Source organism: Homo sapiens, chromosome 6 (genome assembly GCF_000001405.40).
Source record: "Homo sapiens chromosome 6, GRCh38.p14 Primary Assembly".
Lineage (NCBI taxonomy): Eukaryota > Metazoa > Chordata > Mammalia > Primates > Hominidae > Homo > Homo sapiens.
This window is the reverse complement of record NC_000006.12, coordinates 134,191,762-134,213,443: the sequence shown is the minus strand read 5'-3', so window position 1 is coordinate 134,213,443 and position 21,682 is coordinate 134,191,762. Positions and strand designations below refer to the sequence as shown.

General features: G+C 41.0%; 1 protein-coding gene, 1 non-coding gene and 1 pseudogene across 2 annotated transcripts in view; 2 read left to right on the top strand and 1 right to left on the bottom strand.

Moving 5' to 3' along the window:
• SGK1 (serum/glucocorticoid regulated kinase 1) overlaps nt 1-21,682 on the top strand; it is a 148,857-nt gene that overhangs the window by 104,669 nt on the left and 22,506 nt on the right. Inside the window, exon 3 of the mRNA NM_001143676.3 lies at nt 6,013-6,088. Within this exon, the coding sequence (NP_001137148.1) occupies nt 6,013-6,088 (76 nt within the window). The remainder of the gene's footprint in view (nt 1-6,012; nt 6,089-21,682) is intronic.
• Nucleotides 1,917-1,994, bottom strand: RPS29P32 (ribosomal protein S29 pseudogene 32; annotated as a pseudogene).
• LOC124901531 (small nucleolar RNA U13) lies at nt 6,930-7,033 on the top strand. Its single transcript, XR_007059962.1, has one exon. It is a non-coding gene; the product is annotated as a small nucleolar RNA U13 (small nucleolar RNA).

The window sequence follows — 21,682 nt, the reverse complement described above, 5'->3', positions numbered from 1 at the left end:
GTTCAAGTGATTCTTCTGCCTCAGCCTTCAGAGTAGCTAGGATTACAGGTGTGCGCCACCACACCCGGCTAATTTTGTATTTTTAGGAGAGACAGGGTTTCACCATGTTGGCCAGGCTGGTCTCAAACTCCTGACCTCAGGAGATCTGCCTGCCTCAACCTCCCAAAGTGCTGGGATTATAGGCGTGACCCCCCATACCCGGCCAAGACTTTATCTGATAATAAATTTTCTCGCTTCTGCAAAGTACCTAAAGCTATAGGAGTTATAGAGCATTGCCTGTAAACAGTTGCAGTATATATAGTTCAAGGATTTCTATAAACTTGTGCTTAAAATTTACTATATGAGCTCTCCGGGTAATTTGCCGCGGATGCTTTGGTTCTTGAGAACCATAAAGAATGGTGTGATACTTGTATGATAATGACACAGAGAACAAGAATTCTTGAAGACCCTGACTTCATCAGGAGCAGCTTCAACGTGGGGAAGATTTTATTGAACAAATAGTGATAATCATTCACAAGTAAATGAGATCTGTAAGAATGGCATTTGCTTCATACGAAAGCCTCAAGGAAACAAGGTAACTGGAGCTTAATGCAGAAAGAAAGCTCGCATATGGCAATTTTCCCAAATAGGTATATAGTTACTGTAGAAAATCAATTAAAACTTTTTGGCATTAAAAAATATTAAAAGTGGCTAAGTCATAAAGCATTCTTTACTCCCATGGTATGTTAGATTTATAGGTGCTTGGGAACATTTTAATTACTTGTATGTGGAAATAATGCTGGCTGTCCTTCCTGAAAGCTGTCCCTCAAAACCAACTCCTTAGTTTTGTGACTATTATCTAACCCTGGCCTGGGAGCTCCCTGAGGACTAGTTCACTTACTGGAAAGGATGTCTTCTGGGGCAGAGTGACCTCAGTAAAAAGACTTAAAATAAGCTCCTCGAGAGCAGTGAAAGGGAAGAGGGCTGGTTAACTTGGAAATGGAAAGCTAAGGTGAGACATAATAGCTACTTTCAAATATTTGAGATATTATTTCATAAAAGAGAGAGTAGACCTGTTCTTTGTAATTTAAGAGTGAGTTAAAAACAGGAATCACCGGGCGCGGTGGCTCACGCCTGTAATCGCAGCACTTTGGGAGGCTGAAGCGGGTGGATCACGAGGTCAGGAGATCAAGACCAGCCTGGCTAACATGATGAAACCCCGTCTCTATTAAAAATACAAAAAATTAGCCGGGCGTGGTGGCAGGCGCCTGTAGTCCCAGCTACTCGGGAGGCTGAGGCAGGAGAATGGCGTGAACCCGGGAGGCGGAGCTCGCAGTGAGCCGAGATCGCACCACTGCACTCCAGCCTGGGCGACAGAGAGAGACTCCGTCCCCCCCAAAAAAAACAAAAAACAAAAAACAAAAAAACAGGAACCAAAGTTTCAAGGACCCAGATTTCAATTCAACCTGTGAAGAGCTTTCTAACAATTGAAGTAGTACTTCAGTGGAGTAGATAAATCCTGAGAAGGGATTCATACTGAGGCTGCTTAGTCAGGTAGGAGGGATTTTTTTTTTTTTTTTTTTTTTTCCTTGTAGACGGAATCTCGCTCTCTCGCCAGGCTGGAGTGCAGTGGAGCCATCTCGGCTCACTGCAACCTCAGTCTCCCGGGTTCAAGTGATTCAGTAGGAGGGATATTTTACAGTGCTGCTCAAAATGTAGTCCAGGAAATGTTACTGCTCCACACATTCTTTTTCTTGTTCTTCTTCTTTCTTTTATTTTCTTTTTAATTTATTTTACGTGCAAAGAGCTAGCATGGTTTCTTTCACTGGGTGGATGATTTTGGTAATCTATTCAAGGAAGATCACTTAGCCCAACGTAATGAAGTCTACCTCTTACTTTGCATACTGATGGAAAAATTGGCTGCACATAATCTGGGTCAAACCATGCTGGTTGGAGCAGAAGCAACAAGAGCGAGAACCCTGGCCAAATTTTCACTAATGGCTCTTGTAGAGCTGCTATTGATGCATCTTGCTTTCAGGATTTCAATGAGGCAAAGAGGCAAGAGGCCTGTCCTTTTTTCTTGAGATTTAAATTTTAATGGCATTTTTTCCTTCAGTCTTACATCTACAATCATGTTTCCTATAAATGAAAAATGTATTACAATTACAAAAAAAAATTCCACTTATAAAATATAGACCACTTACATATTTATGTATCAAATGTCTTCTGTTCCTTTCTGATATACTGACAAAATAGGATGGCAATCTATTCTAGATTTTGTGTTATTGTGGAAAGAACACATAACATGAGATCTATCCTTTTAACAATTTTTTTTTTTTTTTGAGACAGAGTCTCCCTGTCGCCCAGGCTGGAGTGCAGTGGCACAATCTTGGCTCACTGCAACCTCTGCCTCCCAGGTTCAAGCGATTCTCCTGCCTCAGGCTCCTGAGTAGCTGGGATTACAGGCGTGTGCCCCCACACCTGGCTAATTTTTGTATTCTTAGTAGAGACGGGGTTTCACCATGTTGGCCAGGCTGGTCTCAAACTCCTGACCTCAGGCGACCCACCCGCCTCAGTCTCCCAAAGTGTGGGATTACAGGCGTGAGCCACCATGCCTGGCCCTTTTAAAATTTTTTTTTTTTTTTTTTTTTTTGAGACGGAGTCTTGCTCTGTCGCCCAGGCAGGAGTGCCGTGACACAATCTCGGCTCACCTCAACTTCTACCTCCCAGATTTTGCCTCAGCCTCCCGAGTAGCTGGGATTATAGGTGCCCGCCACCATGCCCGGCTAATTTTTGTATTTTTAATAGAGATGGGGTTTCACCATGTTTGCCAGGCTGGTCTCGAACTCCTGACCTCGTGATCCACCCGCCTCGGCCTCCCAAAGTGCTGGGATTACAGGTGTGAGCCACTGCACCTGGCCTTAACAATTTTTCAAGTGCACAATATAGTAATGTTCTCTAGGCACCATGTTGTACAGCAGATCTCTAGAAATTAGTCGTCTTGCCTAAATTAAATTTTATACCCATTGAATAGCAACTCAAGCATTTTCCCATTTGCCCCTCCCTGCAGCCCCTGGAAACCACCATTCTATTCTCTGCTTCTATGTGTTTAGCTATTTTACATACCTTATGTAAGCGGAATCGTGCAATATTTGTTCTTCTGTGACTGGCTAATTTCACTTAGCATAACATCTTCCAGTTTCATCCACGTTGTCACATATGGTATGATTTCTTTCTGAGGCCAAATAATATTCCATTGTATGTATTTACCACATTTCTTTATCAATTTATCCGTCAGTAGACATTTAGGTTGCTTCCTCATCTTGGCTGTTGTGAATAAAGTTGTAATGAACATGGAAGTGAAAATACCTCTTTGAGATCCCAATTTCTCTGATTTCCACATATTCTTTGATACTGGTCCACAAGAGAAGGAGCTTGTACCAGATGGTAAATTCATGCACTGCTTCCTTCGTCAATAGAGCTTCACAGGCCTGGCACGGTGGCTCATGCCTGTAATCCCAGCACTTTGGGAGGCCAATGTGGGCGGATTACCTGAGGTCAGAAGTTCAAGACCAGTCTGACCAACATGGCAAAACCCCATCTCTACTAAAAATACAAAAATTAGCCAGGCGTGGTGGAGCACGTCTGTAATCCCAGCTACTATTGAGGCTGAAGCAGGAGAATCACTTGAACCCAGGAGGCAGAGGTTGCAGTGAGCCGAGATGACACCATTGCACTCTAGCCTGGGCAACAAAGCGAGACTCCATCTCAACAAAGAAAAACAAAAGCCTTGTTATAAAGAGAAAATGTCGGTGAAACTAAACAATGACCTTAGTGTCATTCTTGAGTATTTTGATTATTGTTGCAATGGAAGGAATTTATCCACTAAGTAGTTGATGAAACTATAGAATATTTGCAGTAATCAAATGATCACATTACAAAATATATATAAATGGAAAAGCAGTTTTAACACTAAGATCTATATTTAACTTCATGAGAATATATTTGATTGTTTGTTTGTTTGTTTTTTTGAGACAGAGGCTCGCTTTGTCGTCCAGGCTAGAGTGCAGTGGCACGATCTCAGCTCACTGCGGCCTCTGCCTCCCGGGTTCAAGCGATTCTCCTGCCTCAGGTTCCTGAGTAGCTGGGATTACAGGCATGCGCTGCCATGCCTGACTAATTTTTGTATTTTTAGTAGAGACGGGATTTCAGCATGTTGGCCAGGTTGGTCTCGAACTCCTGACCTCAGCTGATCCGCCCGCCTCGGCCTCCCAAAGTGCTGGGATTACAGGGGTGAGCCACCACGCCTGGCCTGAGAATATATTTGAAAGCTAATATCACAGTAGTATAAAGCTGTCAAAAACATGGATCACTGCTGCTCTGTGGAACTTGTTATATGAAATCTATTAATTGTATCTGAGTACAACCACTATGGAAAACAGTATGCAGATTCCTTAAAGAACTAAAAGTAGATTTACCATTTGACCCAGCAATTCCACTACTGTGTATCTATCGAGAGGAAAAGAAATCATATACGAAAAAAACACGTGTGTGTGTATATATATATACACACACATACATGTATGTATATGCATATATACACATACATGTATGCGTATGCATACACACATACATATATATACATGCGTGTATGTGTGTATATGTATGTGTGTGTGTATATCTATATATACACATATATATGTGTATATATATATATACGCATACATGGAATACTACCCAGCCAAAAAAGAACAAAATAATAGCATTTGCAGCAACCTGGATGGAATTGGAGACCATTATTCTAAGTGAAGTAACTCAGGAATGGAAAACCAAATATCATATGTTCTCACTCATAAGTGGGAGCTAAGCCATGAGGACGCAAAGGCATAAAGAGGATACAATGGACTCTGGGGACTCAAGGGGAAGGGTGACAGTGGGGCAAGAGATAAAAGACTACACACTGGGTACAGTGTACACTGCTTGGGTGTTGGGTGCACCAAAATCTCGGAGATTACCACTAAAGAACTTATCCATGTAACCATACACCATCTGTTCCCCAAAAATCTATTGAAATTTTTTTAAAAATGAAAAAATACCTGACAGAAAATGCTCAATAAATATTATTTATCATTAAAAACATGTATCTGCACTAAGAAGAGCCTCTAAGTGGACTAAATAATACATATTGCATATGTACATGTGCTGCTATTTGAGAATATAAAGATCCTGTTATGATTATAAAATAAGAATGCAGGCCAGGTGCGGTGGTTCACGCTTATAATCCCAGCACTTTGAGAGGCCGAGGTGGGCGGATCATTTGAGGTCAGGAGTTCGAGACCAGCCTGGGCAACATGGTGAAACCCCGTCTCTGCTAAAAATGCAAAAATTAGCCAGGCGTGGTGGCACACGCCTATAATCCCAGCTACTCAGGAGGCTGAGGCAGGAGAATCGCTTGAACCCAGGAGGCAGAAGTTGCAGTGAGCTGAGATTGCACCACTGCACTCCAACCTGAGCAACAGAATAAGACTGTCTCAAACAAACAAAAAAAGCATTTAAAGTGCTACTGAATTAAAAGTAGCTTTTAATTAATATGTATTTTCCCAAGCAATATGTACTAAAAGTATCATTTCTGTTATGTGGAGATTCAAACACTTTTTATGTATTGAGTGTCTACACTGATAAATTTGCTAATAATCCAGGGCCTCTTCATACGGCTGTGCAGTTTGTGCACTGCACATAGCACTGGGTGAGCTCCAGCGCCCATGTGCTAACCCAGCCATCAGCCCAGTGAAACTGCTTCATGTGTAAGGGGACCAACTGTCCCGGTTTGCCCAGGACTAAAAGGCTTCCCAGGATATGGGACTTTCAGTGCTATACCCAGCACGGTCCTGAGAAAACCACCCTAATTAGAGCACAGACATGCCATATGTACTAGTTTCAGCCTTGGAATCCTTTCTCTAGAACTATAAGCCTAAAATAGCTGAAATGATGAAGCCATTTTTATATCACTTCTTTTCTCTTTATGTTTTAAAGGTGAGAGAGCCATGTAATCATGCCAACATCCTGACCAAGCCCGATCCAAGAACCTTCTGGACTAATGATGATCCAGGTATTATTGGAAAAATACAACCTGTTTCCTGTTATGTACAGGATACATTCTGTAGTAAAGCTCTACACAAAGGCAAGGTTTGGGGGGAAATATTTTTTTGTTTGTTTGTTTTTTGTTTTTTGTTTTTCTTGAGACAGAGTCTTGCTCTGTTGCCCAGGTTGGAGGGCAGTGGCGCAATCTCAGCTCACTGCAAGCTCCGCCTCCCAGGTTCACGCCATTCTCCTGCCTCAGCCTCCCGAGTAGCTGGGACTGTAGGCGCCCGCCACCATGCCCAGCTAATTTTTTTGTATTTTTAGTAGAGATGGTGTTTCACCGTGTCAGCCAGGATGGTCTCGATCTCCTGACCTTGTGATTCGCCCGCCTCGGCCTCCCAAAGTGCTGGGATTACAGGCGTGAGCCACCGCGCCCGGCCTTGTTTATTTATTCTTACCTAACCCAACACTCGAATACACTGCAATTAATTTTTTTTTTGTTTTTTTTTTTTTTCTGGAGACGGAGTCTTGCTCTGTCGCCCAGGCTGGAGTGCGGTGGTACGATCTCGGCTCACTGCAACCTCCACCTCCAGGGTTCAAGCGATTCTCCTGCTTCAGCCCCCCAAGTAGCTGGGACTACAGGCATGAGCCACCATGCCTGGATAATTTTTGTATTTTTAATGGAGACAGGGTTTCACCATGTTAGCCAGGCTGGTCTCGAACTCCTGACCTCAGGCAATCTGCTGAGCTCGGCTTCCCAAAGTGCTAGGATTACAGGTGTGAGCCACCATACCTAGCCTTGCAATCAATTTTACCCTAAAAGTCCTTTTGTTATGTCTTCTTTTCAGTATCTAAAACGTATATACTAGATCCCTTTGTCGTTTATAAGTGTGATGATTGGGTTTTCATGTTCCTGTGTGAGATATGCCTCCTTCAAGCCTTGTTATGATGTCTGCACATTACCTGCCTGTCATTTAAAAAAAAAAAAAAAAAAAAAAAATATATATATATATATATATATATATATATATATATATATATATATCATCAGGTACAGCTTTGTGGATTGTGAAGCATATTTAAGTGTTGGGAGGAATGAGGAATGAGTCTATTTGCTGGAGTAGAAGACAGAGGAGTTGAATAAAGTGGGCAAACACATGAGTCCAAGTTTGTTTTCTAGGGCAAGGAAGAGATTTGAAAACCTAGGGTGAATCATACTTCAGAATACTTATGGGAGGGCATGTATACTTGCACTATGATATTAGGGCTGTACATCTAATCAGAATCAGAAGAATGCCACTTTATGAGATCGGAGAATATGCTTCAGGTTATATGATTAGAAATTACGCTTAGACAAAGAGTAGGGTATGTTCTCATAGCAAATAGAAGACATTTAAAAATTCTTTTTCACAAACACACATGAGCCGTGAGGCCTAATTGCACAAAGTAGACACTAGAAATAAAAGGGAAGGTGAAGCAAAAAGGAGCTAAAACAATTAAGAGAGTGATAATAGAGCTTTCACCTTTTCTAATGAAATAGGTCTAATGAAATAGAAAACTCACGCTGATATCTGATATTTGTATTATGCCTCACGCTTTTACAAGGAGTATTCACAGAAATCTAATGTAGTGTTTGCCGCAATCCCTTGAAATAGGAGAGACAGCCCTTTCCTTGTTATGCCTCTATTAGAAATGAAATAATAAGCTGAATAGGTTAGCTGACATATCCAAAGCTCGCAGCCAGAAAATACCAAGGCTAGGAGAATGGAGAGTGGACTGCCCAGTTCTATAGCACGCTTCTTAGGAAGAAGCAGCTCTCCTAGCAGAAACAGCTTGGGCTAAATCTGTGCTATAATCTGTTCTTCATAAAAGGGAGTCAGAGGCTGTGCCTATTAGCAGAAACAGGAGGACTTGAGAAGGAAAGTGAGAAACTTTCTGATGGCTTTTTTTTTTTTCAAAGACCAGACTTACGGTCTAAACATTATCAATTTCATCTGTCAAAAAATTGTTTTCTGTCTTGTTTTATTATATCTTTTGAAGAAAGAAGAAAAAACATAAAAGTGAATTAGCCTATTTATGCCATCATTTCAGTCCATCAGCAGTATACCACCACAATAAACAAGCCATCTGCTGGCTAATACTGCTAGTAAGATCTACAGCACATGTGTTATGAAGAAGCAATGTAGAATGAAACATTACCAAAGGAACATAAATGATTCTTGATGTTATGTAAAGAAAATGGAAAGGGAGGGAAATCTGTACAGGACAGGTCTAGAAAATGGTGCTTGACCAGCAGCCCTCAGGACTGCTCTATCTGTGAAGCAGCTATTCTTTATTCCTTTACTTTCTTAATAAACTTGCTTTCACTGAAAGAGAGAAAGAGAGAAACAGAGAAAGAAAGAAAGAAAGAAAAAGAAAGAAAGAAAGAAAAGGAGGGAGGGAGGGAAGGAAGGAAGGAAGAAAGAAAAGAAAGAAAGAAAAAGAAAATGTTGCTTGGACAATTTTTGAAGCCTAAATAAATTATGTTACGGGCTGGGTGTGGTGGCTCATGCCTGCAATCCCAGCACTTTGGGGGGCCAAGGTGGGTGGATCACCTGAGGTCAGGAGTTAGAGACCAGCCTGGCCAACATGGTGAAACCCCTTCTCTACTAAAAATACACAAATTAGCCGGGAGGTGTGGCACGTGCCTGTAATCCCAGCTACTTGGGAGACTGAGGCGGGAGAATCACTTGAACCCAGGAAGCAGAGGTTGCAGTAAGCCAAGATTGTGCCATTGCATTCCAGCCTGGGCAAAAAGAGTGAAATTCCATCTCAAAAAAAAAAAAAAAAGTTACAAGAAAAACTAATGCAGAACACATAGAGAAATAGGAATAGAAATATTTCAGACTTACTCTTTTTTTTTTTTTTTTTTCCTGAGATGGAGTCTTGCTCTGTCGCCCAGGCTGGAGTGCAGTGGTGCAATAGACATACTCATTTTTAAAACGTTTTTATTACTTTTCCTTCATCAGTAGTGTTACAAAGAATGGAGTGTCCCTCCTACAAGAGCTCATCTCATGAAGATCCTTCCCAGTCACCAACTTAACCAACTCATAAAGTAGGATCTATGTCTAGAGTAATTATTTATTTATTTATTTATTTATTTATTTATTTATTTATTTATTTTTTGCCTAGTTGGTCAGTCCATTACTAAGAGTGTTTTAAAATCTCCACCTCTAGTGGTAGAATTGTCTTTTGGTTCTTTTAATTCAGTCAATTTTTGCTTTATGTATTTTGAACCTCTGTTATTAGGCACATATACTTTTTTTTTTTTTTCTGAGGTGGAGTTTTGCTCTTGTTGCCCAGGCTGGAGTGCAATGGCATGATCTCGGCTCGGCTCACTGCAACCTCTGCCTCCTGGGTTCAAGCAATTCTCCTGCCTCAGCCTCCTGAGTAACTGGGATTACAGGCACATGCCATCACTCCCAGCTAATTCTTGTATTTTTAGTAGAGACGGGGTTTTGCCACGTTGTTCAGGCTGGTCTCTAACTCCTGACCTCAGGTGATCCACCCACCTCAGCCTCCCAAAGTGCTGGGATTACAGGCATGAGCCACCGTGCCCAACCACACACACATCTTTATGATTATTATTATTTCCTAATGAACTGATCATTTTATCATTAGGAAATTTCCTTCTTTATCTCTGGTAAAAGTCTTTGTTTTAAGTCTATTTCTTCTGATAGATACAGCCAGTCCAATCTTCTAAAGCCTACTTTTCACATGGCATATTTTTCTTTCCATTTTCTTTCAACCTGTGTCTTATAGTTAAGGTGCTTATCTTATAGACATCATGTGGTTAGATTTTCCTCTTAAAATCCTATCTAATGATCTCTGTTTTTTTTACTTGTGATGTTTAGCCCCTTTATACTTAATGTAATGACACAGTTAGATTTAACTTTACTGTTTTGCTATTTGTTTTCTATATGTCCCTTCTCTTCTTTGTTTGCTTATTCTTCCTTTCCTGACTTCTCTAGGATTATTTGAATAGGTTTTAGAATTTAATATTAATTTACCTGTTGACTTTCTAGTTATCCTCTTTGCATCACATTTTCAGTGGTGCTCTGAAGATTACAATAAATGACTTTATTTTTATTTTTATTTTTTTGAGACAGAGTCTCACTCTGTTGCCCAGGCTGGGGTGCAGTGGCACAATCTTGGCTCTCTGTGACCTCCACCTTCTGGGTTCAAGTAATTCTCCTGTCTCAGCCTCCCAGGTAGTGGGATTACAGGCACGTGCCACCACGCCTGGCTAATTTTTGTATTTTTAGTAGAGACGGGGTTTCAGTATGTTGGCCAGGCTGGCCTCGATCTCTTGACCTCAAGTGATCTGCCCACCTCGGCCTCCCAAAGAGCTGGCATTACAGGCATGAGCCACTGTACCCAGCTGAGAATAAATGACTTTAAATTTTCATAGACCATCGTCAAAATTTGCAAACAATGTAGGTGCATCTACCCCACTCTACCCTCATCTTTTATATTATAGCTGTCATATGTATTATCTATATATGTACTAAACCCTACAGTACAGTGCATTTTTTAAAAAATAAGGGGAAAATTATCTTTTGTTTTTATCCAGATATTTGCCATTTCTGATGTTCTTCATTTCTTCCTGAAAATCTGTTTCTCTCTGGTATCATTTCCCTTTAGCCTGGAAATTTTCCTTTAGGATTTCTTTTTTTTCATGTTTTTATTATTTTTTTGAGATAGAATCTTGCTCTGCCACCCAGGCTGCAGTGCAGTGGCGAGACCTCAGCTCACTGCAACTTCCACCTCCCGGGTATAAGCAATTCTCCTGTCTCCTGTCTCAGCCTCCCAAGTAGCTGGGATTACAGGTGCATGCCACCATGCCTGGCTAATTGTATTTTTAATAGAGACAGGGTTTCACCATGTTGGCCAGGCTGGTCTTGAACTCCTGACCTCAAGTGATCCACTCACCTCAGCCTCCCAAAGTGCTGGGATTACAGGAGTGAGCCACCGCGCCTGGCCAGGATTTCTTATAAGTCTTCTGGCAGTGAAATATCTTAGTTTTCTTTTATCTACATGATATGTCTTTATAAATGGAAATACCTTTATTTCATTCTTGAAGGATATTTTTGCTAGATATGGAATTCTGCGTGGCTACTTTGTTTTTCTTTCTTTCATAACTTTAAAGATATTGGTTCTTGTCTTCTGGCCTGTAGAGTTTCTGATGAGAAGTCAACAATGTTTACATTATTGCTATGCTGAATGTAACGTGTAGTCTTTTACTGGCTGCTGTAATTTTATTTTTATTTTTATTTTTATTTTTTATCAGTTTGACTATGATGTGCCTAGAGTAGAATCTATATTCTTTAAGATGTAGATCTCTCAGGTTTAGGAAGTTAAATATTCTTCTAGTTCGCTAGTAGTTTTCTCACAGTTTGAAACTAGGTGACGCAATTGTTTCTCCCGTGGTTTCTACACTGCAGCATGCCCTTTCTTCTCCAGCACATCAGCACTTGGAAACTCTTTCTAACTGCCTTGAATTCTGATAAGTGCAAACACAAGCTTGAGCAGCTCCATAGCCATCCATCCACAACACCAAATCTTATGAGCCTGTAAATGGATTCTTTACAAAGGCCATGTTCTAGTCATGGTTGCAGTACGAGTTTTATTACTGTAACTTTTACAAATTCCTGAAATGATTTTAATAATACAAGAAATAATAGGTCGGGTGTGGTGGCTCACACCTGTAATCCCAGCACTTTGGGAGGCTGAGGCAGGTGGATCACCTGAGATCAGGAGTTCAAGACCAGCCTGGCCAACATGGTGAAACCCCGTCTCTACTAAAAATACAAAAATTAGCTAGGCCTGGTGGTGTCTGCCTGTAATCCCAGCTACTCAGGAGGCTGAGGCAGAAGAATTGCTTGAACCCAGGAGGCAGAGGTTGCAATGAGCCGAGATTGGGCCACTGTACTCCAGCCTGGGCAACAGAGCGAGACTCTATCTCCAAAAAAGAAAAAGAAATAAGGCTGGGTGTGGTGGCTCACGCCTGTAATCCCAGCACCTTGGGAGGCCGAGACGGGCGGATCATGAGGTCAGGAGATGGAGACCATCCTGGCTAACACGGTGAAACCCTGTCTCTACTAAAAATACAAAAAATTAGCTGGGCATGGTGACGGGCACCTGTAGTCCCAGTTATGCAGGAGGCTGAGGCAGGAGAATGGCGTGAACCCAGGAGGCAGAGGTTGCAGTGAGCTGAGATCGCGCCACTGCACTCCAGCCTGGGGGACAGAGTGAGACTCCATCTCAAAAAAAAAAAAAGAAGAAAAGAAAAAGAAATAATACAAAAAATGACAATGTTTTTGTCATTTTTTATGGAAAATATATTCCAGTGAATGGAGTATTTTCATTCAAAATCAGTCATCATCAGAGAGTATTTTATTTATTTAATGTAGTGTGTAATCTGTTTTTTGTTTTGTTTTTGAGACAAGGTCTCACTCTGTCACCCAGGCTGGAGTGCAGTGGCATGATCTCAGCTCACTGTAGCCTCAGCCTACTGGGCTCAAGCGATCCTCCTGCCTCAGCCCCACAAGAAGCTGGGACTATAAGCACATGCCACCACACCCAGCTAATTTCTTGTATTCTTGTAGAGACGGGGTTTCTCCATGTTGCCCAGGCTGGTCTTGAACTCCTGAGCCCAAGTGATCCACCTGCCTTGGCCTCCCAAAGTGCTTGGATTACAGGTGTGAGCCAGCATCTGGCCTGATACACAGTTTAAATAGAGTTAAATATTAGGGGTAGTTAGTCCACATTGCTTGATAGAAATAGAAGTTAAATAAAAACATGATTTTGTGAAGAATTAAGGAATTATTCAAGGTAGTTTCATTACGTGAAATCTGGTAGAATTGCCTAGATTTTGACATTCACTCTTTTTGTGTGAGTGCCAGACGACAGGACTAGCGTGCTCAGTTGCTATGTGTAGATAGATACTGGTATACAGTTGGAAAAACAAAAGTCATTTTTTAAGTCTTTCTTTTTTATCATTATAACATAAAAGTGGCATATGCTCATCATAGGGAAAAAATGAAAAATAGAGAAAGGAAGAAAATTGATCACCCGTCATCTTACTGCTCACACTTTTGTTCACAGGGCTTAGAATTTCTCATGCATTCCCAGCATTTGTTCAGACAGTAAGCAAACAGGCTGCACAAGTTTAGGTTCTTTCCTGTTATCTTTGTTTTTAGCCTTTGAAACCTGAGTTGTTTGTTTTTGTACACCTTTGTTTTTCAATCGCTGGTCCTGCAGTGGCCTATAATTTCCTCTTGAATGAGAATTTCAAGGTAGAATGAGTTTCTTCATACTTTCAAAATGTGTGTTTTTCCCCAGTACTATTATTGGCAACACAGATAATGTTCTTTGCTTAGAGAAAACCAGATAATGAAGTGGTTAAACAACAAGATTGATTTGCAAGCCATTATTTTAGCTAGACACTGGTTTTGCCAGGTAAGAAACATAATTCTTTGATGTTCCCCTGGCCTTTTACTTGATGTCCCTTTTTAACAAGACAATTCTACCACTGGGGTTTTTTAAATGTCTAGATTTCTTTCAAACAAAAATTAAAGAGCAAGAATCATTACTGTATAAATTTTTCCCAGAGGAGAAAATTTAATTTTTCCTTATATTTCCAGGATTATGCGTTGTTCATATATATATATATTTTTTTCTACATTTATTTTTCTTTCTTTTTTTAACTTTTGTTTTAGGTTTGGTGGTACATTTGAAGGTTTGTACATAAGTAAACTCTCTTTCTTTTTTTTTTTTTTTTTTTGAGAGAGAGTCTTGCCCTGTCGCCCAGTCTGGAGTGCAGTGACGCAATCTCAGCTCACTGCAACCTCCGCCTTTCAGGTTCAAGCCATTCTTCTGTCTCAGCCTCCTGAGTAGCTGGGATTACAGGCACCCGCCACCACGCCTGGCTAATTTTTGTATTTTTAGTAGAGATCCGGTTTCACCATGTTGGCCAGACTGGCCTAGAACTCCTGAGCTCAAGTGATCTGCCTGCCTTGGCCTCCCAAAGTGCTGAGATTACAGGCGTGAGCCACCATGCCGGGCCAGCATAGGTAAGCTCTTGTCACAGGGGTTTGTTGTGCAGACTGTTTCATCACCCAGGTATTAAGTCCATTATCCAATAGTTATCTTTTCTGCTCCTCTTCACCCTCCCATCCTCTATCATCAAGTAAACCATAGTGTCTGTTGTTTCCGTCTTTGTGTTTCTAAGTTCTCATCATTTAGCTCCTATATGTTTTCTCATAGTTCATCACATTAAAAAAATCAGCTCAAGCTGGGTGTGGTGGCTTGCACGTATGGTCCCAGCTACTAAGGAAGATGAGGCAGAAGGATGGCTTGAGCCCAAGAGTTGGAGGCTGCGGTGAGCCATGATCATGCCATTGCACTCCAGCCTGGGTGACGGAGCGACACCTTGTCTTCAAAATAAGTAAATACAAGAATAAATAAATAAATAAAAATTAGCTCAAATTTCTGGGGACTTAGGAATCACTACTGGTAGCTCATGCCTATAATTCCAGCTACTCAGGAGGCTGAGGCAGGAGGATCACTTGAGGCCAGGAGTAAGACCCTGTTTTCAAAAAAAAAAAAAAAAAAAATAGAAAAAGAGAAAAAGAAGAAAAAAAATCACTATAAAGTGGTATATCCATATTTACTCAGGAGCAGTAATAGTTTATGTACCAAATGTAGAAATAAAATGATTCATAATTTGAAAACATATGGACTACAGAAATATTTTAGTATTTCAGAGAATATATAAAATGATATCATTGGATTAATACAAGCAGAGGAAGGACTTCAGTACATGAATTTTTTAAAGTAAAGAAAACAATTTCTAGATTTTTTCTCTTGAAAAGCAAAATACTCATATTTATAGCTAGAAAACAATTGCTTGTCTGCCGAAGTATGGCATTATCTAACAAAAGAGAAAAATGTGATAAAAGTTAAACATCATCTGCTTACACAAGAATTTTCCATCTGATACATGTTGGCCAGTATATTCATGGTAGACTTTGCCTCCTGATATTACAGATAAATTATCTAGTAAAAATCTGTGGACACATGAAAATCCTGTGGGTTGACTAACCTTGTTTACTCAGGTCATAACTACAAAGCGGTAGCTATCTCAGTAATAAAATCGTCTTACACACAGTGAAGAATTCCAAAGTCTCATAGTGTCATCAGTGGGAGCAGAGATGAAGCTAGGATTTGAAAAGAACAAGGACACAGTCATAAGAACCTAAATTATCCTTTGGCCTATATCTTGTATACCCTCCACCTCATTAAACAAAAATTCTGTGCAAAGATTGGCTTCCCTAGAGGCCACTTATGTTTCTTGTGGATGTTCACCCATAAATTTGGTCCCCCTGTTAACTGACATTTGGACTATTTTTGCTATTTTATTTTATTTTATTTTATTTTATATTTTATTTTATTTTATTTTATATTTTATTTTATTTTAATTTAATTTTATTTTATTTTATTTTATTTTATTCTTTGAGATGGAGTCTTGCTTTGTCGCCCAGGCAGTGCTCTCAGTGGCGCGATCTCAGTTCACTGCAACCTCCACCTCCCGGGTTCAAGTGATTCTCCTGCCTCTGCCTCCCAAGTAGCTGATATTACGGGCATCCGCCACCATGCCTGGCTAATTTTTGTATTTTTAGTAGAGATTAAGTTTCACCATGTTGGCCAGGCTGGTCTCAAACTCCTGACCTCAAGTGATCCACTGGCTTCAGCCTCCCAAAGTGCTGGGATTACAGGTGTGAACCACCACGCCCGGCCTACTTTTGCTTTTTATGTGTTGAAGCTTGATAAATAATGACCTCAACATAACAATAGCTGCTGATATTCTTGACCTATTAACTGAACTACAGATGGCTGGTCATAACTTTTTATGCCATCAAATGAAGGGCCCCCTTAAGACAATAAAAACATAACACCTTTGGGTAGACAGAAATGAGAAAAAAAATGTACAGACAAGTAGTACCACATCTCAAGTTAGAGTCTCCAACTTGCCAGCTATCTTCCACTACTCCCCAAAATAATTTCCTGTACATTAGGGTTTTTGTTGCTGTTGCTGTTGTTGGTTGTTTGAGACAGGGTCTTATTTTGTCACCCAGGCTGGAGTGCGGTAGTGCGATCACGGCTTACTGTGGCCTTGACCTCCCAGGTTCAAGCGATCCTCTTATCTCAGCCCCCCAAGTAGCTGGGACTACAGGCATAAGCTACCACGCCCAGCTAATTTTTTTGTTTTTTGTAGAGATGGGGTTTCACCATGTTGTCCAGGCTGGTCCCAAACTCCTAAGCTCAAGTGATCTGTCCGCCTCAGCCTCCTGAAGTGCTGGGATTATAGGCGTGAGTCACTGCACCCAGCCTTATACATTCAGTTTTTAACAAACTTTCTTGTCCATGGTATATGCACAATCAAATGTGTTGAAAAAATGAATACAATTAACACTGCCCAAAATTAAGGTAGATAGAGATTCATTCTGAAAGTCTTTTTGAAGACTTAATCCATCAGAAAGAGACCCACTCACTCTGTCACTCATACGTGGTTTTTGGCATCCCGTACTTCAACTCGAAGTTTTAAAAATCAATTTCTCTATCTTAGAACAGGTAACCACAATCATTCTCAGCTTCCTGAACCACATCTCTTTTAGTCAACTGACCTCACATCAGAGTTGGCCAGCAGGCCATGCACAGAGCAGCAGGAAACTGCCCGGTAGTGTACAATCTGTTGTGGTTGTGTCGTGAATTCTTGAGTCAGGCCTTCTGAGTTTGCCACAGATTTCAATGCTTACTACCTGTGTGACTTTGGGCAAATTATTATTATTTTATTATTATTATTTTAATTTTTTTTAGGGTAAATTATTATTTTTTCTTTGTTTTCTTTGTTTGAGACAGAGTCTCACTCTGTTGCCCAGGCTGGACTTGAACTCCTGGGCTCAAGTGATCCTCTTGGCCAGGCACGGTGGCTCATACCTGTAATCCCAGCACTTTGGGAGGCCAAGGCAGGTAGCTCACTTGAGCTCAGGAGTTCAAGACCAGCCTGGATAACATAGTGAGACCCCATCTCTTTTTAAATTTAAAAAAAATAAGTGATCCTCCCGCCTCACCCTCCAGAGTAGCTGGGATTACAGTCACGTGCCTGGCTGGGCAAATTATTTAACCCTCTGTCCTTTCATTTCTTATACATGCAAAAATGAAATAGTAATAATAGATTATAGAATTTTGTGGGGATTAAAAAAGATAATGCAGTAAAGGTATTTATAACTGTGTTAACATATAATTAGTGGTCAATTTATGTTAGCTCTTTTTACCTGGAGAAAGAATTATGTCATTTACATGGGATTACATTTATCTAGGATTACACTTTCATGGGATTTACTAACTATGGTTTGAAAGAAGAATGCATTTTGTTTTATCATTACTGTTACTATTTTATACATTACTGGACCCCAAACTTGTTTTTTCTGCTGAACCATGAAGCTTATAATTTGCTGTATTCCATTATCTGGAGCCCCAGACACAAAACTGATAAGCTTCCTGGAAATAGACATATGGCTAGACTTAAAATCCTCAAATTGGAGCGAACCTTAGTTGCCTAGTCATTTAGATAAAATATTGCATTCTTAAGCTAAGATCTAGAAAGCAAAAAGCACTTTGTTTTGCATGACTTAAACCATCTACAATGGTTTAGATGGTTCCAAGTTCAAGGATGGGTTATTTATTCCAGTGAGTAGGGAAATGTTATTTCTAAACTCTCTGTGTAAAGATACTTAGAGTCATGCTCATCTAGCATCTGAGTTATGTTTGGCAGTGAAAAGTTTGTCAGATCCTATCCTCACAACTGTCCTAGTGCCAAATGTGTGAATGTGTGACTATAGGCTCAGTTTAGCTCAACACAGAGAGGCCCCTCACTCTGCCTTGGATTGTGTAAATGAAGGGTTTAGCTTTCTGAAGCTTTCCAATTGGAGCAAAATCTGTTTCTGCGTTTGTGGAACTTACAATTTTCTCTTTCTCTTTGTTCTGACCAAAATTGCTTGTTATTTCTGCTGTTTTACTAAAGGCTAAACTAACAGTGTTTCACAATAGCTCGTTTTTCTAATTCCTCAGGATTCTTTTAAAACTATTTTCAGGCAGTATTTTCATGTGCTTATTTTATCCAAATCATTTATGTCCAAGATCTTTCATTTCCATAGTCCTAAAAGGCATTTTATGATAGCTAAAATGATACCAGGAAATTTTCTCACTTAAAAAATACAAGGAAAATATGAAATGCAACTTCATATTTTAATAAATCTGCTCTCATTATTTTGAATCAAACTAATATGGCAGCAGATCAAAAAGTCTAGTGGATTTTAACTGTAGCAAAAGTTAAAATGTCCTAAATTTTATTAAGTTAGGCATGCTGAAATATTCAGCCTTTAATGGCTTGCTTTTTGCCCAAGAAGTTTATCTCATAATACAGGATACATAATACTGTGGAAAGAAAAACTTGTAGGCCGGGTGCAGTGGTTCACGCCTGTAATCCCAGCACTTTGGGAGGCCGAGGCGGGCGCATCACTTGAGGTAAGGACTTCAAGACCAGCCTGGCCGACATGGTGAAACCTCGTCTCTACCAAAAAGTATAAAAATTAGCCAGGTATGGTGGTGTGCGCCTGTAATCCCAGCTACTCAGGAGACTGAGGCAGGAGAATCACTTGAACCCGGGAGGCGGCGGAGGTTGCAGCGAGCCGAGATCGTGCCACTGCACTCCAGCCTGGGTAACGGAGCGAGACTCCGTCTCAAAAAAAAAAAAAAAAGAAAAACTTTTGACAAATTGAATTTAACAGCTTATTTGAGCAAAGAATGATTCTCCAATCAAGCAGCCCTCAGAACCAAAGGAGGCTCAGAGAGTTCCACTGGGCAAATAGGTGGACAGGGAGCATTTATAGACAGAACTGGAAGTGAGGTACACAAACAGCTTGACTGGTTAAAGCTCCAAATTTGCCTTATTTGGGCATCGTCTGATCAGTTGGCATCCTGTGATTGGCTGAAGCTCAGTTGCTGTGATTAGCTGAAGTTTGGTTGCTGTGATTGGCTGAGACTCAGCTAGTTGTAACAAAAATATATATAGCATGTCGTTATAACATTGATGAGAAAAAAAAAAAAAGATTTCCAGCTGGGGCCACAGTCTGTGTAAAGTTCACACTTTCTCTTCATGTCTTTGTAGGTTTTCTCCATGTAACTCCACTTTCCTCCCACATCCCAAAGATATGCATGTTGAGGTTCATTGGCGTGTTCACGTTGTCCCAGTCTGAGTGAGCATGAGTGTGGGTGTGAGTGTGAGTGTGCCTTGAGGATGGGACGGACTCCTGTCCAAGGTTGGTGTCACCTTGTTCCCTGAGCTGCCAGGATAAGCTTGGGTTGTCTACCACCTCAAGTGGAATCATTGGGTAAATAGTTATCTTAGTTTTTATTAATTTTTCCCCTCCCCTCCCCTCCCCTTCCCTCCCCTCTCCTCCCTTCTCCCCTCCCCTCTCCTCCCTTCTCCCCTCCCCTCTCCTCTCCTTTCTTTTCTTTTTTAACTGTTCCTTGCAGAGCAAGGCTAGCTTAGGCACTGTACCCAGAGTCAGCTATTAATCGCTCCAGCCAGGTGACTGAGTGAGAAGATCTCACTCAAAAAAAGAAAATCTAAAACAACAGCAACTTCAGTGTGCAGGAAGGAACATAAGAAAATAAAGAGAGAACAGAACAAAGAAGAAAAACAACAGCAACTCACTCTAAGTACTGTGGAAACAAACTGGAAGTGGGGCTAGAAAAAAAACAAAGGGAGAAGATCCCTGTAGTCCCAGCTACTTGGGAGGCTGAGATGAGATCACCTGGGCAAGACCGGGAATTTATTTCAATGTTCAGTATTTGAAGTGTTTTGGTCTTTATTTAGAAGTTATGTGATGTTTTTATGTCCATAAGTATGCAATAGGAAGTTAATTCCTCATTATATCAATTAGCTTATGGTGAAATTGGTTTCCTTATACTTTATTTCACTTAAAGTTACAATATCTAAGAACCTAGCTACCATTTTTAGTGAGGACTTATAACGTACTCCTAAATTAGGTTTTCAGTTTGTGAACATACTAAGCTGAGCTGCAATCAGGTAGAGATTCAAGGAACAGAGGTGACTTCAGGTCAAATTTAGTTTAAAATATGTAAGACATGATATCAGCTTATATGCCTGACTTAGAGAAAATAAATGGAAAAGAAGATTTTTGAACATATGCCCTTAATAACAAGTGTTTTATCTGGTTAAATGTAAACACAATTTTTAACATCTGAAGAAAAATTATTTTATGACTTTAAAATTGTACATAGTAAGGAAAATAGGCCCATAACTAATAATGAAAACAGGCTATTCCAGGAATGAAATGGCCCTCAAAGAGGTGCAGGTGAAGGGTAGGAAATAAGGGGTTAATAGTGGGTGGACCAGGAGGGCGCAGTGGCTCCCGCCTGTAATCCCAGCACTTTGGGAGGCCAAGGCAGGCGGGTCATTTGAGGTCGAGTTTCAGACCAGCCTGGCCAACATGGTGAAAATACAACAGTACAAAAATTAGCCAGGCATGGTGGTGCATGCCTGTAATCCCAGCTACTCGGGAGGCTGAGGTGGGGGAATCGCTTGAACCCGGGAGGCAGAGTTTGCAGTGAGCCAAGATCGTGCCACTGCACTCAAAAGAATGGGGGGAGGGGGGATGGATGGAGGTGGGAGGGAGGTAGGAAGACGAAGGTAAAACCAGGGATGCCAGAGGCAAGAATAGTACTATATTTTAGAGCAGAGGGTCCCCAGCGAATTCAAGAGAGTTGATTGAAGTTGATTCTATCTTACTCTAAAACTCCTTTATTTTGTTAAGGTGTAAATTGACAGTAGAAAGAAAATGCAAAGGATTTAGGAAAAGATTAGCTCAGGCTGGGCTGGAGTCGTTAAAGTAGATGTCAGTGAACAATGCAGCTCACGAAATCCTGACCTTTCCTCTTAAATGAGCGTGGCAGTCAGCATTTCCCACTGATTAAAATTTTGGCTCTTAGGCCGGGCATGGTGACCCACGCCTGTAATCCCAGCACTTTGGGAGGCTGAGGCGGGTGGATCACTTGAGGTCAGGAGTTGGAGACCAGCCCGGCCAACATGGCAAAACCCCATCTCTATAAAAATACAAAAATCAGGGCCGGGCGCGGTGGCTCACGCCTGTAATCCCAGCACTTTAGGACGCCAAGGCGGGCGGATCACGAGGTCAGGAGATTGAGACCATTCTGGCCAACATGGTGAAACCCCGTCTCTACTAAAAATACAAAAATTAGCTGGGCATGGTGGCGGGCCCCGTCCCAGCTACTTGGGAGGCTGAGGCAGGAGCATCCCTTGAAACCCGGAGGTGGAGGTTTCAGTGAGCCGAGGTCACACCACTGCACTGCAGCCTGGTGACAGAGCGAGACTCTGTCTCAAAAAAAAAAAAAAAAAATCAGCCGGGCGTGGTGGCGCATGCCTGTAGTCCCAGCTACTCAGGAGGCTGAGGCAGGAGAATCCATTGAACCC